This window comes from Homo sapiens, chromosome 3 (genome assembly GCF_000001405.40).
Source record: "Homo sapiens chromosome 3, GRCh38.p14 Primary Assembly".
In the NCBI taxonomy this organism is placed as follows: domain Eukaryota; kingdom Metazoa; phylum Chordata; class Mammalia; order Primates; family Hominidae; genus Homo; species Homo sapiens.
Window position 1 is genome coordinate 9,933,806 of NC_000003.12, and position 22,257 is coordinate 9,956,062.

The following is a 22,257-nucleotide window of genomic DNA, read 5'->3' on the forward strand; positions in this document are numbered from 1 at the left end:
GCGCGGGTGGGGGTTGTGCGTTTTACGCAGGCTGTGGCAGCGACGCGGTGAGGAGACGGCCCACGGCGCCCGCGGGCTGGGGCGGTCGCTTCTTCCTTCTCCGTGGCCTACGAGGGTCTGGATCCTTCTCTGCCGGCTCGTGGGCCGTGCCTTTGCCCTTCTGCGAGGCCCTGAATCTGATCCCTTCCCTTCATATCCGGATCCGGGCTCCTCCCTCCAAGCCCGGGGTTCCGGACACCTCCCCCAAGACAACCCCTCTGGCCTCCTCTCCTTCAGTACTTGGAATCTGATCTCTTCTCCCTAATTCTGCGGATCCGGCCCCTAATATTCTTTATCAGACCCTCAGACAAGAGGCTGACTTCTGCCCCCTTGTCAAGGAGCGAGGCCACTTTCCTCTCCACCCCATGCTAGCGAGGATAACTTATTTCTCTTCTGGAATTGCATCTTATGCGCCTTTCCCCACCCATCCCCACAGCCCCTGCAATACCCAGTTTGGCCTCTTTTGCTTGTAATAACGCAGATCCCAGCGCCACGGCACCTTAGAACAGACCTTTTTCTTTCTCGCGTGGGGCCTGACTCCTTCAGTGAAGCCTCTCCACGCCCTCTATCTGCAGGTCCCCAGCCTGGGTAAAGATGGCCCCATGGCCCCCGAAGGGCCTAGTCCCAGCTATGCTCTGGGGCCTCAGCCTCTTCCTCAACCTCCCAGGACCTATCTGGCTCCAGCCCTCTCCACCTCCCCAGTCTTCTCCCCCGCCTCAGCCCCATCCGTGTCATACCTGCCGGGGACTGGTTGACAGCTTTAACAAGGTGGGTGCACCGGCAGCCTCGTTAGAGGGGAACACAGCGATTTAGAGTGGGGAACTCTGGGATGCAAATCTGCGTGGATTTAAGTTTCATCTTGGTCTCTTACTAGTTGTATGGCCCTAGGCAGGTTGCCTTTCTGTGCCTCAGTTTCCTAGTCAGTAGAACAGTGAAGTGCTAGCATGTGCCAGGCACTGTACTTAGCTATTACTAATTTTCTGTTTCCAGGGCCTGGAGAGAACCATCCGGGACAACTTTGGAGGTGGAAACACTGCCTGGGAGGAAGAGAATTTGTCCAAATACAAAGACAGGTAAGGGGCTGCTGGGGGAAGGGGTGTATATTCCCCTCCCCGCCAAATCTCTGCTCTGCTGGTGTAGGGCTAGGAACTCTTGGGGAGCACTTATTCATTCAACAAATAGCACTGAACATCTATAGTATAGCAGTAAACAAGGCAAGCAAAATGCCCCCTTCCTGGAGCTCACATTCTAGTAGAGAAGACAAGCAGTGAATGAGTAAGTGAATAATATTATGTCAGATGAAGAACAAACAGTGAAGCACGGTAGACTGCAGGACGGTGGGAGGCAAGGTGTTCAAGGTTTGGCATTTGAACAGAGAGACAGGAAGTGAAGAAGCGAGCTATGTGACAGGGAGGGAATTGGGCAGAGGATGGGACTGAGCTTGGTGTATTTGAGAAGTGGCTGGAGTGGAGTGAGCCAAGGGGAGAGTGCTAGAAGGTGAAGGCAAAGGCTTAAGCCTCGAGGGCTACAGAAAAGAGTTTAGATTTTTTTTGGAGTGTAATGGGAAGCTCTTGGAAGGCTATGAGCAGAAAAAGTGATACTGTCTTCTCTACACCTTTAAAGATTACTCACACTGCTATGTAGCAAACGGATTGTAAGGGGCAAGGGCGGAGGAAGCAGGGAGACCAGTTTGGGAGGCAAGTGCATCATCTAGGTACAAAGGCAACACAAGCTAGTGTGGTATCTAGTGGAGGACATGATGAAGAGGTCACAGTCTGGGTATATTTTGCAGAGAGAACAATAGGACCTGGTGATAGATTCATTATGGGTATAGAGAAACAGTAGAATAAAAGATGCTTACTAGATTTTGGGCCTGAGCAACTGGGTGAGTAGTGCAGCTGTTTTCTAAGATGGTGAGATGCGAAACCGAGAAGGTTTAGGGGAGGGGTGGGATGTGGTGTTCTTTGAACGTATTGGGCTGAAATGTCCATTAGACATCCAGGTAGACTCCATACAAATCTGGAATTCAGAAAAGAGTAGGAATTGGAAACAGGAATTTGAGAGTTGTCATTATATAGTCAGTATGTAAAGAAAGCCATGGGAAGGATACAGAAAGCCATTATATAGTCAATATATGTAATACAGAAAGCCATTTATATAGTCAGTATGTAAAGAAAGGCATGGGAAGGATACAGAAAGGCGAGCCCTGAGCCCTCCAGCTTTTCAAAGTCAGATGGAAGAGGAGTCAGCAAAGGCTCAGAGTTAGACCTGGTTGTCGGTTCTTAACCTCTCAGAGCCACAGTTTCTTCACCTGTAAAATGGGGATATTAATACCTGGTTTGCCTATTTCATAGAAGTGTGGAAAAGGCTTAACTGGGATGCCCACTAGAAATAAAGGTTTTGTTATTATGTAACATTGGTCATTTTCTCTTTTCCTTCGCCGGGCCTGAGTTTCCTCATTCAGGAATGAGGGGATTGGCTAAGACAACCCCAGAGGCACTTCCAGCTTTGTAATGGCTCCTGCGTTGCTTGCTTTTTTAAATCACCTCCTATATGCCAGGCACTGTGCCAGACCCTTTAAATACAGGATATAAGACATCAAATATTTATATATGTGTGTATATATATGTGTGTGTGTATATATATATGTGTGTGTATATATATGTGCATATATGTCTGCGTATATATATGTGCGTATATATATGCGTATATATATATATATATGTATATATTTGTGGTAAAATACACATAAAAAATTTCCCATTAAAGACATTTAATAATATTTACAATGTTGTGTAACCATCACCACTATGTAGTTCCAGAACATTTTCATTACCCCCCCAAAAAATCCTATACCTATTACACAGCCACTCCCTATTCTCCCCTTCCCTCGGCTCTTGGCAATCACTAATTTGTGTTAGTCAAGCAGAAATTATGGATTTGCTGATTTCATTGGAATCATAAAATATGTGGCCTTTTGTGTCTGGCTAGTTTCACTTAGCATAATGTTTTCAAGGTTCACCCATACCGTAGCATATATCAATACTTATTCCTTTTTATGGCTGAATAATATTCTCATTTGGCTGTACCACATTTTGTTTAACCATGCATCAGTTGATGGACATCTGCATTGTTTCTACCTTTTGGCTGTTGTGAATAGTGCTGCTATGAACATTGTCTACAAGTTTTCGTTTGAACACCTGTTTTCCATTCTTTTGGGTCTATATCCAGTAGTGGAATTGGCAGGTCCTATGGCAATTCCATGTTTTACTTATTGAGGAACTGCTTTTCCACAGTGGTGATGCCATTTTGTATTCCCACCTGCAGTGTGGGAGGATTCTAATTTCTCCACATCCCTGCCAACACTTGTTATAGGATGTATTTTTAGCCATATCTACCCAGCAAGGGTATTATATTCCATTGCTCAGATGCAGGAACTGATGTATGTTACAACAAACCTGCAGGGAAGGTATTGTCATCCCCATTTTACAGATGACAAAACAAAGAGGTTCAGAGAGGTTAAGTGACTTGCCCACTAGATCTACCACTAGATTTGAACCCAGGTCTCTCTGCTTCCCAGAACCATGACCCCTTCCATTATACCTCATGGCCTCTCCTTTGATATTTTCACCGCACGAGGAAGGGTGGAGAGAGACTTGAGGAGGGTGGTGGGTGGGGTGGGGCATGTTTCCCACCAGCCCTGCCCTGTCCGATCAGTGAGACCCGCCTGGTAGAGGTGCTGGAGGGTGTGTGCAGCAAGTCAGACTTCGAGTGCCACCGCCTGCTGGAGCTGAGTGAGGAGCTGGTGGAGAGCTGGTGGTTTCACAAGTGAGTGGCAAAGGGCCTTCCCTGGAAGTGGGTCACAGGTGAGGCCTGGTGATAAGGCCTGATTTGGCCGAGAAGCAGGGGGGTGCATGCTGGGGCCCATGTCCTGGTTGTGCTCCTTCCAAACCCAGGTCTGCTAAGAACTTGCCGGGGGACTTGCGCTCCACTTTGAGCCTCAGTTTACCCTTCTGCCAAATGGGGAAAGGGCATTGGTCAGATGGCCTTTTGGGTCTTATGTCCAAGCTGGGTTGAATCACAGATTCAGGCATGGGGGAATGGGAACAGCACTTATGACACTATCTCAGCACCTCCTCCCCACCTCCCTCCACCCTGCCCCTGCCTCAGGCAGCAGGAGGCCCCGGACCTCTTCCAGTGGCTGTGCTCAGATTCCCTGAAGCTCTGCTGCCCCGCAGGCACCTTCGGGCCCTCCTGCCTTCGTGAGTTTTTAAGTTGCTCTTGGGGATGGGAGGGGACCACCGAGTCCAGGGATCCAGTCCTGGCTCTGTCCCTAGTTCGCTGTGTGAACTCAGGCTACTCAGATAAACTTCTCTGGACCTCAGTTCTTGCCTGCCTGACAGGGCTGGGGAGATGGGCAAATCAGTGGGGAAAGGCTTGGAGAAAGCACAGGGGCTAGACTGAGTCATATGCAGTATAGTTATCATCATGTACTAAAGAAATGATAGACTTCCCAGCCCCTTCATTTCCCATGCCAGATCGGACTATGGTACCTTCCTGGGGAGGGGCGGGTGCTGACCTGGAGCCTCCATGATCGCCATCCATCCTCACACACAGTCCTGGCACAAGAGCTGAACTTACTACCAGCCTCTTTTAGAGCAGTCTTTCCTGAAGCTACAGATAAAGAGCTAGCTACAAAGATGGCAAATTCAGTCTTTGTAAAAGAAAATATTGGCTGGGCGCGGTGGCTCACACCTGTAATCCCAACACTTTGGGAGGCTGCGGTGGGTGGATCATGAGGTCAGGAGATCGAGACCATCGTGGCTATCATGGTGAAACACCGTCTCTACTAAAAAATACAAAAAATTAGCCGGGCATGGTGGCGGGCGCCTCTAGTCCCAGCTACTCTGGAGGCTGAGGCAGAAGAATGGCATGAACCCGGCAGGCGGAGCTTGCAGTGAGCCGAGATCATGCCACTGCACTCCAGCCTGGGCGACAGAGCGAGACTCTGTCTCAAAAAAAAAAAAGAAAATATTTGGTCCAGTGGCTCGTACCTGTAAACCCAGCACTTTGGGAGGCTGAGGCAGGAGGATCACTTGAGGCCAGGAGTTTGAGAGACCAGCCTGGGTAGTAGAGCAAGACCCTGTCTCTTAAAAAAAAAATAGTGGGGCATGGTAGTGCAGCCTGTTGTTCCCCTAGGCTGAGGTGGGAGGATTGCTTGAGCCCAGGAGTTCGAAGCTGCAGTGAGCTATGATCATGTCATTGCCTGGGAAACAGAGCGAGACCCTGTCACTAAAAATAAATAAATAAATAAATAAATAAATAAATAAATAAATAAATAAAAGGTCTGTAAAATCTAATTGTTCCACAAGAGGAAATTGGTTAAGTAAATGTCAGTTTTATGACAAAATATTATGTCATTAAAATTAATTTTCTTCTCCAAAAATGTTTACTGATATGCAGAGCAGAAAATATTATCTTGTTTTTTTTGTTTTTTTGTCTTTTTTATTGATCATTCTTGGGTGTTTCTCCCAGAGGGGGATTTGGCAGGGTCATAGGACAATAGTGGAGGGAAGGTCAGCAGATAAACAAGTGAACAAAGGTCTCTGGTTTTCCTAGGCAGAGGACCCTGCGGCCTTCCGCAGTGTTTGTGTCCCTGGGTACTTGAGATCAAGGAGTGGTGATGACTCTCAACCAGCATGCTGCCTTCAAGCATCTGTTTAACAAAGCACATCTTGCACCGCCCTTAATCCATTTAACCCTGAGTGGACACAGCACATGTTTCAGAGAGCACAGGGTTGGGGATAAGGTCATAGATCAACAGGATCCCAAGGCAGAAGAATTTTTCTTAGTACAGAACAAAATGAAAAGTCTCCCGTGTCTACTTCTTTCTACACAGACACAGCAACCATCCGATTTCTCAGTGTTTTCCCCACCTTTCCCCCTTTTCTATTCCACAAAACCGCCATTGTCATCCTGGCCCGTTCTCAATGAGCTGTTGGGTACACCTCCCAGACGGGGTGGTGGCCGGGCAGAGGGGCTCCTCACTTCCCAGTAGGGGCAGCCGGGCAGAGGCGCCCCTCACCTCCCGGACGGGGCGGCTGGCCGGGCGGGGGGCTGACCCCCTCACCTCCCTCCCGGACGGGCTGGCTGCCCGGCGGAGACACTTCTCACTTCCCAGACGGGGCGGCTGCCGGGCGGAGGGGCTCCTCACTTCTCAGACAGGGCGGCCGGGCAGAGACGCTCCTCACCTCCCAGACGGGGTCGCGGCCGGGCAGAGACGCTCCTCACTTCCTAGATGGGATGGCGGCCGGGCAGAGACGCTCCTCACTTTCCAGACTGGGCAGCCTGGCAGAGAGGCTCCTCATATCCCAGACGATGGGCCGCCAGGCAGAGACGCTCCTCACTTCCCAGACGGGGTGGTGGCCGGGCAGAGGCTGCAATCTCGGCACTTTGGGAGGCCAAGGCAGGCGGCTGGGAGGTGGAGGTTGTAGCGAGCCGAGATCACGCCACTGCACTCCAGCCTGGGCACCATTGAGCACTGAGTGAACGAGACTCCGTCTGCAATCCCGGCACCTCGGGAGGCCGAGGCTGGCGGATCACTCGCGTTTAGGAGCTGGAGACCGGCCCGGCCAACACAGCGAAACCCCGTCTCCACCAAAAAAATACGAAAACCAGTCAGGCGTGGTGGCGCGCGCCTGCAATCGCAGGCACTCGGCAGGTTGAGGCAGGAGAATCAGGCAGGGAGGTTGCAGTGAGCCGAGATGGCAGCAGTACAGTCCAGCTTCAGCTTGGCATCAGAGGGAGACCGTGTAAAGAGAGGGAGAGGGAGACCATGGGGAGAGGGAGAGGGAGGCCATGGGGAGAGGGAGAGGGAAAGGGGGAGGGGGAGGGGAGGGGGGGAGGGAGGGAAGGCAAGGGAGAGGGAGAGGGAGAGGGAGAAAATATTATCTTGTATATCAAGGTTGTATAGATGACCTCACCTGGTTTGGTGTCTTCCCACAGCCTGTCCTGGGGGAACAGAGAGGCCCTGCGGTGGCTACGGGCAGTGTGAAGGAGAAGGGACACGAGGGGGCAGCGGGCACTGTGACTGCCAAGCCGGCTACGGGGGTGAGGCCTGTGGCCAGTGTGGCCTTGGCTACTTTGAGGCAGAACGCAACGCCAGCCATCTGGTATGTTCGGGTAGGTAGCCAAAAGGTGTGGCACTGGGCAGGGGCAGATGGGGCACCTGCCTGCCCATCCTCATGCTGCCCCCATTCCACCCAGCTTGTTTTGGCCCCTGTGCCCGATGCTCAGGACCTGAGGAATCAAACTGTTTGCAATGCAAGAAGGGCTGGGCCCTGCATCACCTCAAGTGTGTAGGTAAGTGGGGCCCTAGCTAGGTCTGGGAAGATGGTCAGGGGCCTGGGCTTGGTCCTTTATTCTCTCAACACAAGCCTGGGCTAGACTAGCCTAGTCTCCACCTTCATGGAGATCTCAACCTGGCTGGGAAGGCAGAAAAGTAACCAGATACTTACAGTCCAGTACACAGGTACTGTGTAGTATAGTCCCTGTGTACAGTGAGAGATGCCTCTGATCTAGTTCAGTGGAAGTGGTGATGGGGAATCAGGAAAGGCTTCTTGGAGGAGGCGTTACTTTGGCCAAGTCCTAAAAATTGAGGAAGGGGCTGGGCGCGGTGGCTCACGCCTGTAATCCCAGCACTTTGGGAGGCCAAGGCGGGCAGATCATGAGATCAGGAGATCGAGACCATCCTGGCTAACATGGTGAAACCCTGTCTCAACTAAAAATACAAAAAATTAGCTGGGCGTGGTGGCGGGTGCCTGTAGTCCCAGCTACTCAGGAGGCTGAGGCAGGAGAAGGGCATGAACCTGGGAGGCGGAGCTTGCAGTGAGCCGAGATCGCACCACTGCACTCCAGTCTGGGCAACAGAGGGAGACTCCATCTCAAAAAAAAAAAAAAAAAAAAAAAAAAATGAGGAAGGGTTGGCTAGGAGAATGAGGACACTGAACTTGGGGTCAGGAAACCTGGGTTCAAGACTTGGTTTGGTCCCAGCCTAGCCACTTATATAGACTAAAGTAAAGGCTAAGCTGCTGTAACAAAAATCCCCAAAAGACTGTGGCTTAAAGAGTATAGAGGTTGGCTGGGTGTGGTAGCTCACTCACGCCTCTAATCCCAGCACTTTGAGAGGCTGAAGTGGGGTGGATCACCTGAGGTCAGGAGTTCGAGACCAGCCTGGCCAACATGGCAAAACCCTGTCTGTACTAAAAATACAAAAATTTAGCCAGGCATGGTGGCAGGTGCCTGTAATCCCAGCTACTCGGGAGGCAGAGGCAGGAGAGTCGCTTGAATCCAGGAGGCAGAGGTTGCAGTGAGCCAAGATCACACCATTGCACTCTAGCCTGGGTGACAAGAGCGAAACTCCATCTCAAAAAAAAAAAAAAGAATCTAGAGGGTAGAGGTTTATTTTTTTTTATCATATTACAGTCCCAAAGTGAGTAGTCCAGGCTGGCAGGGGAGCTCTGCTAGTCATAATCATTCCAGTACCCAGATTATTCCTGTAACTTACTGCACAATCATCCCCTTGGGCGTTGTCTGCATGGTTGAAGCTGAGTCCTGGGCATCTCTGTGTCCCACATGCCAGCACTCAGGAAGGGAGAAGGGAAAGAAAGTGCATTGAGGAGTCCAAGCATTGTTTTAAGACCAAGCTAACGGTGGAGCTCATCACTCCTGTTTACATCCTGTTGGCCAGAACTCAATCACAGGGACACACTTAGCTTCAAGACAGGTTGGCAAATGTGGTCTCTGGCTGGGCAGCCTGAAGTCCAGCTAGTCTGCTTCTGTGTTGGTAGACAGCTTGCAGTCTCTGCCATACCATTTAATCCCAGGCAAGACCATTCCCCAACGGCTCTGGCTTCAGCTTCCCTACTAAATAGGGATTGAAATTCTCACCCTGCTCACCTCTCTGCAGACATTGATGAGTGTGGCACAGAGGGAGCCAACTGTGGAGCTGACCAATTCTGCGTGAACACTGAGGGCTCCTATGAGTGCCGAGGTCAGTGTCTACTTCTGCAGAGGAGGGGACGTGAGGAGTGGAGGAAGAGCTGCTCCACACCTGTCCCTCCAAACCTTCCCCTTCTCAGGCTTCAGAGCACCCCCAGGCCTCCGCTTCTGGAGCGTGGCTCCCCTGGGCCTAGGTGCACATCTCACCCTCATCTTTCTCTCCTCTCTCCAGACTGTGCCAAGGCCTGCCTAGGCTGCATGGGGGCAGGGCCAGGTCGCTGTAAGAAGTGTAGCCCTGGCTATCAGCAGGTGGGCTCCAAGTGTCTCGGTGAGTCTCCTGCTGATGGGACACAGGCACCTGGGAGTGCCTCACCCAGCATGAATGGTGAAGAGGCTGGAATATGGGCAGGTGGGGGAAGGAAGGGTGGAATGTTGCCTGGGCAAGGGCAGAGGGGAGTGTTGAGAGATGGACAAGATGGAGTCAGGGTGCTGGGTGGGGGGCCCTAGCAGGACTCTGACCCCTCCCTCCCCTCAAGATGTGGATGAGTGTGAGACAGAGGTGTGTCCGGGAGAGAACAAGCAGTGTGAAAACACCGAGGGCGGTTATCGCTGCATCTGTGCCGAGGGCTACAAGCAGATGGAAGGCATCTGTGTGAAGGAGCAGATCCCAGGTGAGCCCTGGGGCGGGAGAGGGGAGGTCCTCATTCAAAGAGAAGGCAGGCAAGCCCCTTCCCCAGGTAGCAGTGGCAGCTCCAGGCCCTGCCCCATCCCTACTGCCACCCAGCCCCCTGGAGGCTGCACTGAGACCGGGCTCTACATCTGATCTCCAGGTTGGCTCTCAGCAGCCTTATACCTTCCAGGGTACAAAGGGAATCAGACCTGGCATCAAATCAGTCTGCCTCCTTAACCTGTTTCCTCATCTATCCAATGGGACCAGTGTTTGCCCTGGCCTGCTGAGAGCTGTCCTAGGCCGGGGGTGTGGTGAGATGCAGGGTAATCACAACGATGATGGCAGGGACCATTTCCCCAGCAATTACTGTGTCAGATGCTGTTCTAGGTGCATTCCCCATCTTAACTGATTTAACCCCTGAAACAACCCGACGCTGGAAGTTGGGTTCTCATCCCCACTCTACATATGTAAAAATGAAGATGCAGAGAGATGAAGCTACTTTCCCAGGGCTATATGGCAAGCAAGTCGCAAAGCTGGGATCCCAATCCAGACAGTCTGACCGTGGAACGAGACTCATACACGTAATAAATGCTCTGCCCCCAACTTGTCCACCACATGGCCTTGGCAAGTCCAACCCCTTTACCTCTCTGAGCCTCACTTTCCCATTTAGTGAGACAGGGATGGTAACTGCCCCTTGCAGGGTGGTTTTGAGCAGTAAATGTAGTGTGCCTGGCTTGCTGGGCAGGCCTGGTGGCCATGATGATCAGGTGTGTGGGAGTTCTGGGGAGACTCCAAGAACTACCAGGAACAGGGATACGAGTGCCAGGCTGCATCTCTTGCTCCTCTGCAGAGTCAGCAGGCTTCTTCTCAGAGATGACAGAAGACGAGTTGGTGGTGCTGCAGCAGATGTTCTTTGGCATCATCATCTGTGCACTGGCCACGCTGGCTGCTAAGGGCGACTTGGTGTTCACCGCCATCTTCATTGGGGCTGTGGCGGCCATGACTGGCTACTGGTTGTCAGAGCGCAGTGACCGTGTGCTGGAGGGCTTCATCAAGGGCAGATAATCGCGGCCACCACCTGTAGGACCTCCTCCCACCCACGCTGCCCCCAGAGCTTGGGCTGCCCTCCTGCTGGACACTCAGGACAGCTTGGTTTATTTTTGAGAGTGGGGTAAGCACCCCTACCTGCCTTACAGAGCAGCCCAGGTACCCAGGCCCGGGCAGACAAGGCCCCTGGGGTAAAAAGTAGCCCTGAAGGTGGATACCATGAGCTCTTCACCTGGCGGGGACTGGCAGGCTTCACAATGTGTGAATTTCAAAAGTTTTTCCTTAATGGTGGCTGCTAGAGCTTTGGCCCCTGCTTAGGATTAGGTGGTCCTCACAGGGGTGGGGCCATCACAGCTCCCTCCTGCCAGCTGCATGCTGCCAGTTCCTGTTCTGTGTTCACCACATCCCCACACCCCATTGCCACTTATTTATTCATCTCAGGAAATAAAGAAAGGTCTTGGAAAGTTAAAAGGCATCAGTCTTACTACCTGTCCCACCACCCCCACCTTAGGGAAATGTCCTAGAATCCTGGGAAATTGAGGGCTTCTTTGATGGTGAGTGGAGAAAAGATAGAGGAGAAGGTTGCCCCTGAAGTGCTGTTAGGAGAAGGAGGATAGAGGAATCAGCCTTAGGAGGGTTCCATGCCAGCTGTCATTTGGCAAAGGACCCTGGACAGATGACTTTTGCCTCTGAACTTCACTCTTCTCTTTCCTCAAATGGGCTTCATAATGCTTTCCACTCAGGCTTAACATGAGAATTAAATGAGGTGACAAATGTGAAGACCTGGACAGTACACAACAGATATTCAATAAAAGTGTGGTCGCCATTATGACCAGAGCCTCCAAGCCTCAAGCAACCTTTCCTCGGAGTCCTGCTCTCCGTCCAATACACAGGACTTAGAATGACTGGGAGGCAGGGCCTCCAGTCTCTCCTTCCTCCTATGAGTACAGGATCCTGGCATGGCCAGAGGGAAGCATGAGCCAAGTCCTAAGGGTTTATTTCTTTGGCACAAAGAGGACAATCTAGACAAGCGAGGCTCATCACTCCACGTTGGGGAGTCTGGGGCACCTGCTCCCTGTTCTTCATGCCCGAATCCATGCACACCCACCCTGTATTCCGCATAAGACACGGCCTCTGTGCAAAATGCCGGCTGAAAAAAAAATAGAAATATTAAAAGCAAAAAACGGCATGGGGGTGGGGTGAGTTCAAACCTGGCTGTCCCCCGGGGGTTGCCGTCAGGTAGAGAGGCCTGGGGATGCCTTTTTTTTTTTTTTTTTTTTTTTTTTTTTTGAGACGGAGTCTCACTCTTGTCACCCAGGCTGGAGTGCAATGGCGTGGTCTCGGCTCACTGCAACCTCTGCCTCCCTGTTCAAGCAATTCTCCCGCCTCAGCCTCCCGAGTAGCTGGGACTACAGGCGTGTGCCACCTGGCTAATTTTTTTGTATTTTTAGTAGAGACGAGGGTTTCGCTATGTTCGAGACCAGGAGGCTGATCTCGAACTCCTGACCTCGTGTTCCACCCACCTCGGCCTCCCAAAGTGCTGGGATTCCTGGCGTGAGCCACCGCGCCTGGCCAGGATGCCCATTTTTTAAAGGCTCAACTGTCCCAGTAGGCCATGCCATGTGGGCATCGGGCAGGGTCCTGGCCCTGCGTCAGGACCGCTCTTCAAAGCTCGATGGTATCACTGGAGGCGCTGCGGGATTCCCCAGGCTTGCCGCGCGGCTGGACCTCTCCCTGGCCGTCCCCCTGCCGAGCGGCGGTAGAATCAGGGGCTGGGGTCGGGGCAGGCAGTAGCTGTACCGTGCTGGGCAACTCATCTAGGGGCAGACTGTCCACTGATGACAGCCCGTGGCGCCAGGGGTTCCAACTGATCTTGAGTGAACCCCTGGAGAAGCTGTCGAGGGAGCTGCCAGAAGCCGCAGCGGCTGCCCCGTCGGGTGCTTCCACTACGTGCTGTGGGACCGGCCCGCGCACGCGCACGTCGCTGAGCGACCTGCAGCGGCCGCGGAGGAGCGAGGAGCCAGCGTCGTCGAGCTCGGCTTTGGGATGGCTGCCCCGGCGCGGCCGCAGAGCGCCTCCAGGCGGCGGGGAGGCCAGGCCGCGGAGGCCGCAGCGCTGGAACACACTGTCTCGCACTAGGTGCTCGCGGAAGAGCGCGGCGTCGATGCTGCGGCTCAGGTTGATGGGCGATGGCGGCCGCAGATCCAGCTCGCTCAGCGATGGCGCCGGTCCCACACCGTTGCGGGACAGTCCCGGGCCACCCTGGGGTCCGCGACCCAACGACGCAGCCGAGCCCCAGGCGCCTGAACTGGGCGTGGCCAGCTGCCCACTCTCCGCCGGGTTGCGGATGAGGCTCTTGCTGATGTCCAAGCTGCCTGCACCAACGTTGCTGGGCCCTGCATAGCAGTTATTGGGTCGCTCCGGCACCTCGCTCTTTCCTGACGGCGCCGGGCACGCCAGACGCATCAGCTTAGCCCAGCAAGCGTGCTCCGTGGGCGGCCTGGGTCTCGCGGCAGCCACCGCGGCCAACGCCAGGGCGAGCGCCCATGTCAGCTCCAGGAGGCGCAGCCAGAAGTGGACACCCCACCAGGCCCACGAGAAGCGGCCCACGCGGCCTGGGCCCGGGTACAGCCAGAGCGCAGCCGCCAGCTGCAAGCCGCTAGCCAGCAGCCCCAGCGCGCCCGCCACAGCCAACAGCCGAGGGCCCGGGCTGGCATCCCAGCCCCGTGGGCCGTCCAGCAGGCGGCGACGGCACAGGCAGAGCGTGCCCAGAGCCACGGCCGCGCCCCAGGCGCACGACAAGCCCTGCGTCAGGAGGTTGAGCACAGACCATGTGGACAGCAGGTCTGTCGCGAGCAACCCTACACCATGCACCAGCGCCACTGCTCCCAGCAGGAGTGGGTTTTGCAGCGGTGGCGGCAGCCCCGCGCCCAGGCCGAGCAGAGTCAGGGCTGCCAGCGCCGTAAGCAGCAAGGGGAAGGGCAGGTTGTAGAGCACCAGGCCCCCGCGAACGCCCAGCCGCGCCTGCGAGCCGTAAGGGTCGGTAAGCATGTAGGCGGATCGCAGCGCCGAAGCCACGAGCACCAGCACCGCGGCCACCAATGCCAGCCGGGGCCCTGCTGGGGCGGCTGCCAGCGCAGCCAGCGCCAACAACGCGGGCAGCAGAAAGAGTACCCCCACCCCGTAGACGTGCAGCTCCCAGGAGAAGCTCAGGACCCGCCGAAGGGGGCCCCAGCGTAGCGGGGGTGCAGTGGCGTTGGCTGGGGGGCTGGAGGCTGGGGCTGAAGCCATGGAGCTGGCGGTGGGCTCCGGAGGGGGAGGCTGGCCCAGGGCTCGCTGCGTGGTGACTCGAATGAGGCCCCGGCGTGACGTCGAGGGGGCCTGGACTGGGGGTGCTGGGGGATGGCTTTGGGGGCGCCCCGGCCACTCCTCGGCTTCATCTGCAATTATAACAATATTAAAATAGCCATTTGAAAAGTGCTTTTGATTTTGTATCACCCTCTAGTGTGGTTGGCAAGTCATTTAACTTTTCCAAACAAATCTGCAAAATGGAGATAACAGCACCTGCCTCATTGCGTTGTGAAGAAGATGAAATGTTTAGCCCGGTGCCCAACACCCAGTAAGTGCTAAATGGATGTCAGCTATCATTTTCATTAATGCTACTATCAGGGAGGTAGTACCCCAGCAGTTCGACACATGGGCTGCATATTAGAATCTTCTGGAGACCAAGGAATAAGAATTTCTTGGGACGTGGCTTGGGCATTGGAATTTTTTTCTTTTTTTCTTTTGACAGGTTCTCACTCTGTCATCCAGGCTGGTGTGCAGTGGTGCAATGTGGGCTTACTGCAGCCTTGACCTCCAGGACAAGTGATCTCCCACCTCAGCCTCCGGAATAGCTGGGACTACAGGTATGCACCACCACGCCCAACTAATTTTTATATATTTTTTTTGTTCTAAACATATCCATGTTACATATTAGAACATTCTAGCCCCAAAAGGGCAAATGACTTCTCCCAGATTTCCCAGTGAGTATGAATTTATTATCCTAGGTTGTTTGAAGGAGGCCCTGGGCAACTCCTTTAAGGAGGTGATTGTCTCCATTCATTCCCCACCCTCCGCCCCCATACATCCCCAACAGAGGTTCTCAGTTACTAGACAGAGCACTCCCTCTCCCCACACCCCAGCCATGCTCTCACCTGGCTGCAGGGCCCCCATGGGGCTCTCTGTTCGGTTTACAGCTGGGCCAGGGTCTGAGGGACCAGGGATGAGAGACTTGGGGGTGCCTGGGGCCTCCACAGCTCCTCTCACCCGCTGGGGGGAGATGGGGTCTGCTCCATTCATTGCTGCTCTCTCTGAAATGACAAAGCAGTCATCACCTTACCTGACCCTCCTATGGTCCTCCTAATCCCTCAGGATTGAGTCACAATCAACCTCATTTGCCACAAAGAGGAAAATGAGACCTAGAGGGACCCAGGGTCAAACAGAATTGAGGCATCCAGCTGCCCCAGAACATCGCTCAGCACACTCATTGATACCCACCTGGCTTAGACGGCCGATCAGGAGCCTCTGAGGCGGGTGGATCCGTGGGCTGGGGTCCTGGTGAATCCTTAGCGTCAGGAAGGTCAGCCTGCTTGGGCGGGGGACCTGGGGAGCTGACTTCCCAGGACACCTCAGCGCCAGCCCTCTTGGGGGTCTCAACCGGCAGCTCCTCAGCAGGAGGAAGGCTTCTGGCCAATGCCAAGTCTGGCTGGGCCCCTGGCTCCTGAGAGTACACCACCTCAACTGGGGGTACTGAGCCAACATCAGGGGCTGCTGGATCCTGCTGGGTGAAGTGGGGACCTTGAGCTGCCTCCTGCAAGTGTTCCTCAAACCCACCCTGTCCTTCCAGCACTGGCCTCTTGACAGTACCTGAGTGGGAAACAAGGGTGTGGGGTGGGCCCTGGTGGTCTGAGGGAGAAGTGGGTGGGACCCTGCTCTTAGTTTTGGCCTTCAGACCCTCATCTCTAGGTGGCCACTGTCCCTCTTGGCCTTCATGCTGCAGGGAGGGAGGAACTGTGGCTACCCTGAGTTGACGTCTGGGAGTTGTGGGGATGAAAGTGAGATGAGGGTGGCCCACTGGGTGGGGAGCCACTGCTTCTTGCTGCAGAAGCTCTTGTGAGTCCAGAGGTCCTGTCCAGCCGTGGGAGCTTGGTCCTTGAGCCATCTGGAGGTCATCAGTTACTGGGAGTCGTTCTCTCTGAGCTCCTTGTGCTGCTTTGGGCCCGTACAGGGCTGGGCCAAGGGGAGAGGCTACAGGCTTCTCAGGCATCTCTTCAGCAGGGGCGTGGCGGACATCAGAGTTCCTGTGACTGTCAGCTCTGGGGTTCTCCGGGAACACGTCAAAGGCCTGGGGCTCTGAGCCCACAGAGCCCTTGGGGTGGGCTCCAGGGATCATAGGGATTTCGGAGTTTTCAAGTGGCCTGGGAAAGCCCCTCCCCAGGGCAGGGCCAGTCCCCAGGAGTGGCAGCAGCAACAGCAGAAGGCCACATACACAGCCCCATGGGCTGGAGGCCATGGTCTACTCCGATGCCTGGGCCTAAAGCCCCCACCTTCCAGTCCTCACTGGATGAGCCTAAAAAAAAAACAGGGCATGGAATGACATGTGAGGGCTGGGGGCCCCCATGCCTTCCTCAAGGGGCTGACAGGAAAGAAAAGCAACGCAAGGCAGCAGCTTCTCTGCTTTTAAAATTGCTGGACGTGGCACTTGCCCTGCTTTAAAACCTTCAGTGGCTCCCCATTTCCCTCAAGAAAGAACATAAGCTCCTCTCCTGGCCTTCCAAGACCCTGGCCACCACAAGCTGTTCATCTGTCCTCCAACACCCACTGGACTGTGTGGCTCCCATGCCTTTTGCTTCTGCTGTTCTGTCAGCAGGGAATGCTCTCTCCCTTCCCCTTCACTTACTGAAATCCTGTTCTTTTTGAGACGGAGTCTTGCTCTGTCGCTCAGGCTGGAGTGCAGTGGCGTGATCTCGGCTCACTGCAACCTCCACCTCCCAGGTTCAAGTGATTCTCCTGCCTCAGCCTCCCGAGTAGCTGGGGTTACAGACATGTGCCACCACACCTGGCTAATTTTTATATTTTTAATAGAGATGGGGTTTTGCCATGTTGGCAAGGCTAGTCTTGAACTCCTGACCTCAGGTAATCTGCCCATCTTGGCCTCCTAAAGTGCTGGGATTACAGGCATGAGCCACTGCACCCTGCCTGAAATGTTATTCCTAAAGGCCCACTTCAAAAATGAGAGACGTGGAGAGGGAGAGGAATATGCACCGGCCTTTGGCGAGGGGCCTGAGTTTGAATCCCAGTGTCTTCATTTCCTGGGGGAGTCATTTCACCTCTCTGCATCATAGTTTTCCCATCAGTAAAATGGGGATAATAAGCATGCCTAACTCAAGGCATGAGACAAATAACCAAACAGGTATGGGCGAGGTTCATACCTGATGCTTGACAAGCGTTACACATTCCTCTTCCCGCCTTCCTTCCCTCATCTTCCTGGGCACTTGTCACTCTGGTCTGATTCTATAATAATCTCCTGCCTCTTATTTCAAACCTGCAGCCTCCAGTATATACCTGGCCCCACGTGGATATCCCCTAAAAGTTCCTGTTCTCGAGAGCCTGTCAGTGGGCCAGGGAGGCAGGAAGGGGCCCCACCACCAGGAGAGGTTTCATGGAGGGTGCGAGAGCTGAAGCCTGGGTGTGTTTGGCGGCAGAGGCCCTGCTCTTTTCCTCTCTGGGGAGCAGCTGTCCCCAAAGCTTCCTGGCTGTTAACCCATGGTGGCTCACAGACACCTTAAGAAGCCACTGAAAACCCCTGGTGCTCTCCCGGGGAAAAGACCCAGGCTCACCGAAAGTTGTGAACAATTTCAAGGGGTTCAAAGACCTTTGAGTCCCATCCTCCAAACTCGAGTTTAGACTCTGTCTTAAAGCCTTGTTAGTTCATTTCTCAAACATTCACGGAGCCCCATGGGCTGCTCCTGGTCTAGGCTAGGTGCTGGGGGCCCAGAGACAGGGCTTTGCTCCAGGGTTGGGAGTAGGGGTGCGCTGAGACGCCCCTAACACAGGTACTGGCTAAAAACAGTGCTCCTGTGTTTAGTTCTTTCCCAGTGAGGCTCCTGCGCTGAGCTTAGCAACACGTCACTCCGCCCTCCCAATACAAGGTGTGGGAACAGCCATTTCACAGGGGGAAGAAACGGGGGTTCAGAGAGGGTGAGCAACTCCCCCAAGGTCACACAGCTGAGTGGACACAATCGGGGTTGTGAAACCCTCGGAGGCTCATCTTCCACAGGAGGTCCAAAAAGCTTTGCCGAGAAAACGGCTGAATGGGGCCTCCAAAGATAAACATGCCATCTGCCTACCACTGCCAACCCAAGAGATGTGGGCACCTGCGGACAAGGCGGGGGCTTGCCCAGCCCTGGGCTCCCACTCTGCTGGAGAGGCTGTGGGGGGTGGCGGATCTCTCTGCCGCAGGGACTGGGGAGAGGCCGGCCTGGGGGCAGGGCGAGGCCGTTGCGGGGCAGCCTCGGAGCTGGTCCATCTCGGGTTACCTCTCCTCCTCCTCCTCCTCCTCCTCCGTCTCCTCTCTCCCTGGCTCCGCGCCTTCCCGCAGTGTCCTGGATGGGGGTGGGCGCCGTGCAGGCCTGGTCGCCTGCGCCCGCGACGGGGGCAGCAGGCCACGCTCCCCGTCGGGGTCCCGCCATCGCCCCCTCCCTGGGCCAGCTCCTCACCTGCGCGCCGCAGCCCCCGTGTTCACCTTGCGCGCGTCCCTGCAGCCGATCGCCGCGCCGCATCCTCCGAGATGCTCAGACTCGGCTAACAGAGCCCGGCGCTGCCGATCGCGAGCCCGCCCACAGGAGCGCAGCCCTGCTTAACTCTTTCCCCTTAGGGGTGGACTCTTCTGTCAACCCTGACTTCCCCTCGCTCAGGGATTGTCAGGGCTCAGAGTGGAACCGAGGTCATCTCTGAGGGATGTGGAAATGTCTTCTGCAGCATCCCTGAAAACGGGGCAGCTAGCCTCTGCTTGCATACCTCATGGGACGGGGAGCTCACTTCCTTTCTATATCCCTACATCCTTTTAGGTAAATCCTACCTACAGCTTGGTATGTATCCTTCAGATTCTTCTCAATGTACAGTTACATGTACATCTTAAATAGAAATGACATCATACTGTATACTTTTTTTTTTTTTTTTTGAGACAGTCTTGCTCTGTCGCCCAGGCTGGAGTGCAGTGGCGTGATCTCGGCTCACTGCAACCTCCGCCTCCCAGGTTCAAGTGGTTCTCCTGCCTCAGCCTCCCTAGTAACCATGCCTGGCTAATTTTTATATTTTTAGTGGAGACAGGGTTTCACCATGTTGGCCAGGGTGGTCTCGAACTCCTGACCTCAGGTGATCAGCCCGCCTCGGACCCCCAAAGTGTTGGGATTACAGGCGTCAGCCACCGTGCCCAGCCACTGTACACATTTCTGTAATTTGTCTTTTTCACTTTCCAATATATTCTGGCACATTTTTCATGTAAATATCTATAGATCTATATCATTTCTTGTATCCACTGTTGAGAATTCCAGCATATGGTCAGCTAGTTATTGTTCTTTATCCTGTCCCCTGTAATTGGACATAGGTTGTTTCTAGCCTTTTGCTCGCAGGGATAATGGAGCAGGGGCCATTCCTTGCTTAACACATCACTGTGCACGTACACTAGTGCACCTACCAGATAATTGCCTAGCCGAGGCATGGTAGTAAAATCTATGGGTCTGCATATGGGGCTGGTAGACACTGTCAAAATGTTCTTGGTCTTTCTTTGAACACCTCTTGATATACTAAACATCCATTATTAGGCTCAATTCCTTAAGGGAAAGCCACACAGGAAATATATGTGGTTATCAAAAATGAGATAGGGCTGGGTGCAGTAGCTCACACCTGTAATCCCAGCACTTTGGGAGGCCTAGAGAGGAGGATCATTTTGAGCCCAGGAGTTCAAGACCAGCATGGGCAAGATGGTGAGACTTTTTTAAATTAAAAAACAAACAAAAAAACAAAAAAACTAGCTGGGCGTGGTGGTACATGCCTGTAGTCCTACCTACTCCAGAGGCTGAGGCCAGAGAATCATTTGAGCCCAAGAGGTCAAGATTGCAGTAAGCTATGGCCACTGGAGTGTCACTGGAGTGCATTGACCACTCTGTCCATTGACCACAAGCTGTGTCACTGGAGTGCAATGACCACTGCACTCCAGCCTGGGCAGTAGAGCGAGACTGACAAAAAAAAAAAAAAAAAAAAAAAAGAAGAAGAAGAAGAAGAAGAAAATTTGGCCTGTATAATGGCTCATGCCTATATTCCCAGCACTTTGGGAGGCCAAGGCTGGAGGACTGCTTGAACCCAGGAGTTCGAGACCAGCCTGGGCAACATGGCAAAACCCCATCTCTACCAAAAAAAAAAAAAAAAAATTAGCCAAGTGTGGTGGTGCGCACCTGGGTCCCAGATACTCAGGAGGGTTATGTGGGAGGATCACTTCAGTCCAGGAGCCAGAGGTTGCAGTGAGCCAAGGTCGCACCACCGCACTCCAGCCTGGGTGACAGAAAGAGACCCAGTATCAAATAAAAAATCAAATTTCACTTAAAAAAGAAAAAGAAAAAATTCTTCCTAGGGCTGAGCTGACATCTCCCTCCCAATGGCTTCCTACCTCTAGCTCTCACAGAAAAGCAATACTCAGGCCCCAGTTGTGTCTGACGTGTTGCAGTTTGAAGAATATTCCATCCCTAATGGCTGGTAAATGGTGGGGCCTGCATTCAGCTGCTTGACTCTGGGAGAGGGTGCAGGCCTTGCCCGTTTCACACATGACCTGACCAGCTCTGTTTTCCTTGTTGGAGCCACTTCAGAATTGTAAAGGCATCTCTCATTTCTCTAGAGTCTTCTTTCTCCAGGACAAACACTCCGAGTTTTTCAGCTGTTCCTTGCAGGACAGGATTCTGGGTTCTCACCATGTGGAATCTCTTCTCTGTTTGCTTCTTACCAGCTCAACAACGCCCCTCTGAAAGTAGGACTCTTGGAAATGAACCTTGTTGGGAGTAAAGCTGAACCTTCACCTCTCCTTTCCAGGATTCTACTCCATTCATACGGCCTCACACTGAATTAATGTTTCTAGCAGCCACATTACTTTGTTACCCAATTGATCTAGTAGTAAAGTCTTCCCATCTCTTCATGTACCACTGGTTTATTGACTCTTAATGTAGGATTCTACATTTGTTTGTTGTTTATCTTGTTAGATCCAGCCTGTTGTTACAATCTTGTAGGAAGTTAACTGGATCCTGATTCTACATATAGCTGATTGACATTTTGGAGGGTTTTGCAATAACCATTTCCCTTCCTGACAGCATCCTAACTTCCTTTGGGGGACCTGTGTCTGTTCCCATGTGGGCAGTCTTGGCCAGAATGCAGTCCTAGGGCCCCCTACAGAAGCTGAGGAGTCTGGATCCTTCCTCTCACTTCCCCTTGTGAACTCGCTGGGAGCCTCCTTTGGAGATGTTGAGATTCCCTCCACAGGCTCAGAGCTGGCCCGGTTCCCTTCCTCAGTTTCTCCTGAGAAGGGCAGGTGTGTGAGTGCCTGACCTCCCAGTCCATGCAGGGCCATCTGGCTGCTTGCTGGCTGCCCTCTTTGGAACCAGGGGCCCCAATCCCATCGCGTTTCTAAACCACCAACCGGCAGGCATTCTGAGATTCCAAACAAATGCAAGAGAGATTAGGATCCCTTTGGCTAGAGGCCAAGGTGAAAGCTGATCCTGCGGAAAGAGGAGACTGGCTGGGGTGGAGGTGAATGTAAGCGGGGAACACGAGGTGCGCAGGTGTGGACGGGGAGTATCTCAGCTCCAGATGGAGCTCCCAGCATCCTTCTGCAGACTCTGGGACGGCGGGGATAAATGGAAGGTGACTCCAAGTATACAAGGGATGGTCAATATCTCCTGTTCACCAAGCACTTGGTCTGCCAAAAACTATGCTACACACCATTATTCTTTTTAAGTCCTCATGACAACCCTAGGTTTTATGTTTTTCATTATACAGCTGGCAAGCTGAAGCTCAGAGAAGTTCAATAACTTGTTAAAGGTCATGCAGCAACTAAGGGGCCAAGCCACAGGCCTGACTTTAGAACTAGTGCTCTTTGTTTTGAGATGGAATCTTGCTTTTGTATTTTTAGTAGAGGCAGGGTTTCGCCATGTTGGCCAGGCTGGTCTCAAACTCTTGGCCTCAAGTGATCAGCCTGCCTCGCCCTCCCAAAGTGCTAGGATTACAGGCATGAGTCACCACGCCTGGCCAGAACCAGTGCTCTTAATAGTAATGACACCCTCCTGCCCCTCTGGAAGAACCTGAGAGAGGAAAGTGGGGGAGAGGGAAACCCCAGGCCTTCCAGGCGGCCCCTACTGTGTTAGGAGTTAATTGAGTCCATGAAAATAGGCCCTCCAGTTTGGATCTCTGTTGAC

At 53.4% G+C, this 22,257-nt stretch overlaps 2 protein-coding genes and 1 long non-coding RNA gene across 25 annotated transcripts, besides 7 other annotated features; 2 read left to right on the top strand and 1 right to left on the bottom strand.

Annotated features, from left to right (window-relative positions):
- CRELD1 (CRELD disulfide isomerase 1) lies at positions 29–11,601 on the top strand. Of its 16 annotated transcripts, none has more exons than NM_001374317.1 (12): positions 29–115; positions 615–807; positions 1,030–1,112; positions 3,757–3,867; positions 4,210–4,301; positions 7,045–7,221; positions 7,306–7,401; positions 9,008–9,091; positions 9,272–9,367; positions 9,576–9,710; positions 10,085–10,290; positions 10,560–11,601. In NM_001374317.1, exons 2-12 carry the CDS (start codon positions 634–636, stop codon positions 10,584–10,586), a joined length of 1,281 nt encoding a protein of 426 aa, NP_001361246.1. In that variant the 5' UTR covers positions 29–115; positions 615–633; the 3' UTR covers positions 10,587–11,601. The 16 variants fall into 16 exon arrangements, 13 of the variants coding, with proteins under 13 accessions (NP_001361246.1, NP_001026887.2, XP_011532410.1 ...); NM_001031717.4 differs by having other exon boundaries at positions 10,097–10,290; XM_011534108.2 differs by having other exon boundaries at positions 29–47.
- Positions 71–440: an enhancer, noted in NCBI's record as "active region_19413". NCBI's record gives its function as "activates an Ori minimal core promoter by ATAC-STARR-seq in GM12878 lymphoblastoid cells {active_cell/tissue: GM12878}" and the evidence as "EXISTENCE:reporter gene assay evidence [ECO:0000049][PMID:35858748]".
- Positions 5,446–6,243: an enhancer, noted in NCBI's record as "NANOG-H3K27ac-H3K4me1 hESC enhancer chr3:9980935-9981732 (GRCh37/hg19 assembly coordinates)". NCBI's record gives its function as "activates a minimal SCP1, AML or CMV promoter by ChIP-STARR-seq in naive H9 embryonic stem cells {active_cell/tissue: H9 hESC(naive)}" and the evidence as "EXISTENCE:reporter gene assay evidence [ECO:0000049][PMID:30033119]".
- On the bottom strand, positions 11,737–18,603 carry PRRT3 (proline rich transmembrane protein 3). Of its 8 annotated transcripts, none has more exons than NR_134900.2 (5): positions 18,517–18,603; positions 15,296–16,367; positions 14,953–15,108; positions 12,280–14,196; positions 11,737–11,906 (listed from the first exon to the last, which is right to left on the bottom strand). NR_134900.2 is itself a non-coding variant. In NM_207351.5 (4 exons), the coding sequence occupies exons 2-4, from the start codon at positions 16,308–16,310 to the stop codon at positions 12,422–12,424; spliced, it is 2,946 nt and encodes a 981-aa protein (NP_997234.3). In that variant the 5' UTR covers positions 16,311–16,367; positions 18,517–18,603; the 3' UTR covers positions 11,737–12,421. The 8 variants fall into 8 exon arrangements, 5 of the variants coding, with proteins under 5 accessions (NP_997234.3, XP_011531930.1, XP_011531931.1 ...); XR_007095665.1 differs by having other exon boundaries at positions 18,337–18,603; XR_007095666.1 differs by having other exon boundaries at positions 18,175–18,603.
- Positions 11,867–12,529: an enhancer, noted in NCBI's record as "H3K27ac-H3K4me1 hESC enhancer chr3:9987356-9988018 (GRCh37/hg19 assembly coordinates)". NCBI's record gives its function as "activates a minimal SCP1, AML or CMV promoter by ChIP-STARR-seq in naive H9 embryonic stem cells {active_cell/tissue: H9 hESC(naive)}" and the evidence as "EXISTENCE:reporter gene assay evidence [ECO:0000049][PMID:30033119]".
- Positions 13,192–13,853: an enhancer, noted in NCBI's record as "H3K27ac-H3K4me1 hESC enhancer chr3:9988681-9989342 (GRCh37/hg19 assembly coordinates)". NCBI's record gives its function as "activates a minimal SCP1, AML or CMV promoter by ChIP-STARR-seq in naive H9 embryonic stem cells {active_cell/tissue: H9 hESC(naive)}" and the evidence as "EXISTENCE:reporter gene assay evidence [ECO:0000049][PMID:30033119]".
- PRRT3-AS1 (PRRT3 antisense RNA 1) lies at positions 13,599–20,982 on the top strand. Its single transcript, NR_046734.1, has 4 exons — positions 13,599–13,799; positions 14,262–14,375; positions 14,550–14,664; positions 20,799–20,982. It is a non-coding gene; the product is annotated as a PRRT3 antisense RNA 1 (long non-coding RNA).
- Positions 16,708–16,997: a mobile genetic element, noted in NCBI's record as "direction; reverse".
- Positions 16,792–16,822: a non allelic homologous recombination region, noted in NCBI's record as "AluSx recombination sub-region, recombines with the AluSx recombination sub-region within the 3p25 IRAK2 Alu-mediated recombination region". NCBI's record gives the evidence for it as "EXISTENCE:nucleotide sequencing assay evidence [ECO:0000219][PMID:19280651]".
- Positions 18,102–18,641: a silencer, noted in NCBI's record as "silent region_14052". NCBI's record gives its function as "represses an Ori minimal core promoter by ATAC-STARR-seq in GM12878 lymphoblastoid cells {active_cell/tissue: GM12878}" and the evidence as "EXISTENCE:reporter gene assay evidence [ECO:0000049][PMID:35858748]".
- Positions 20,983–22,257: the final 1,275 nt, after the last annotated feature.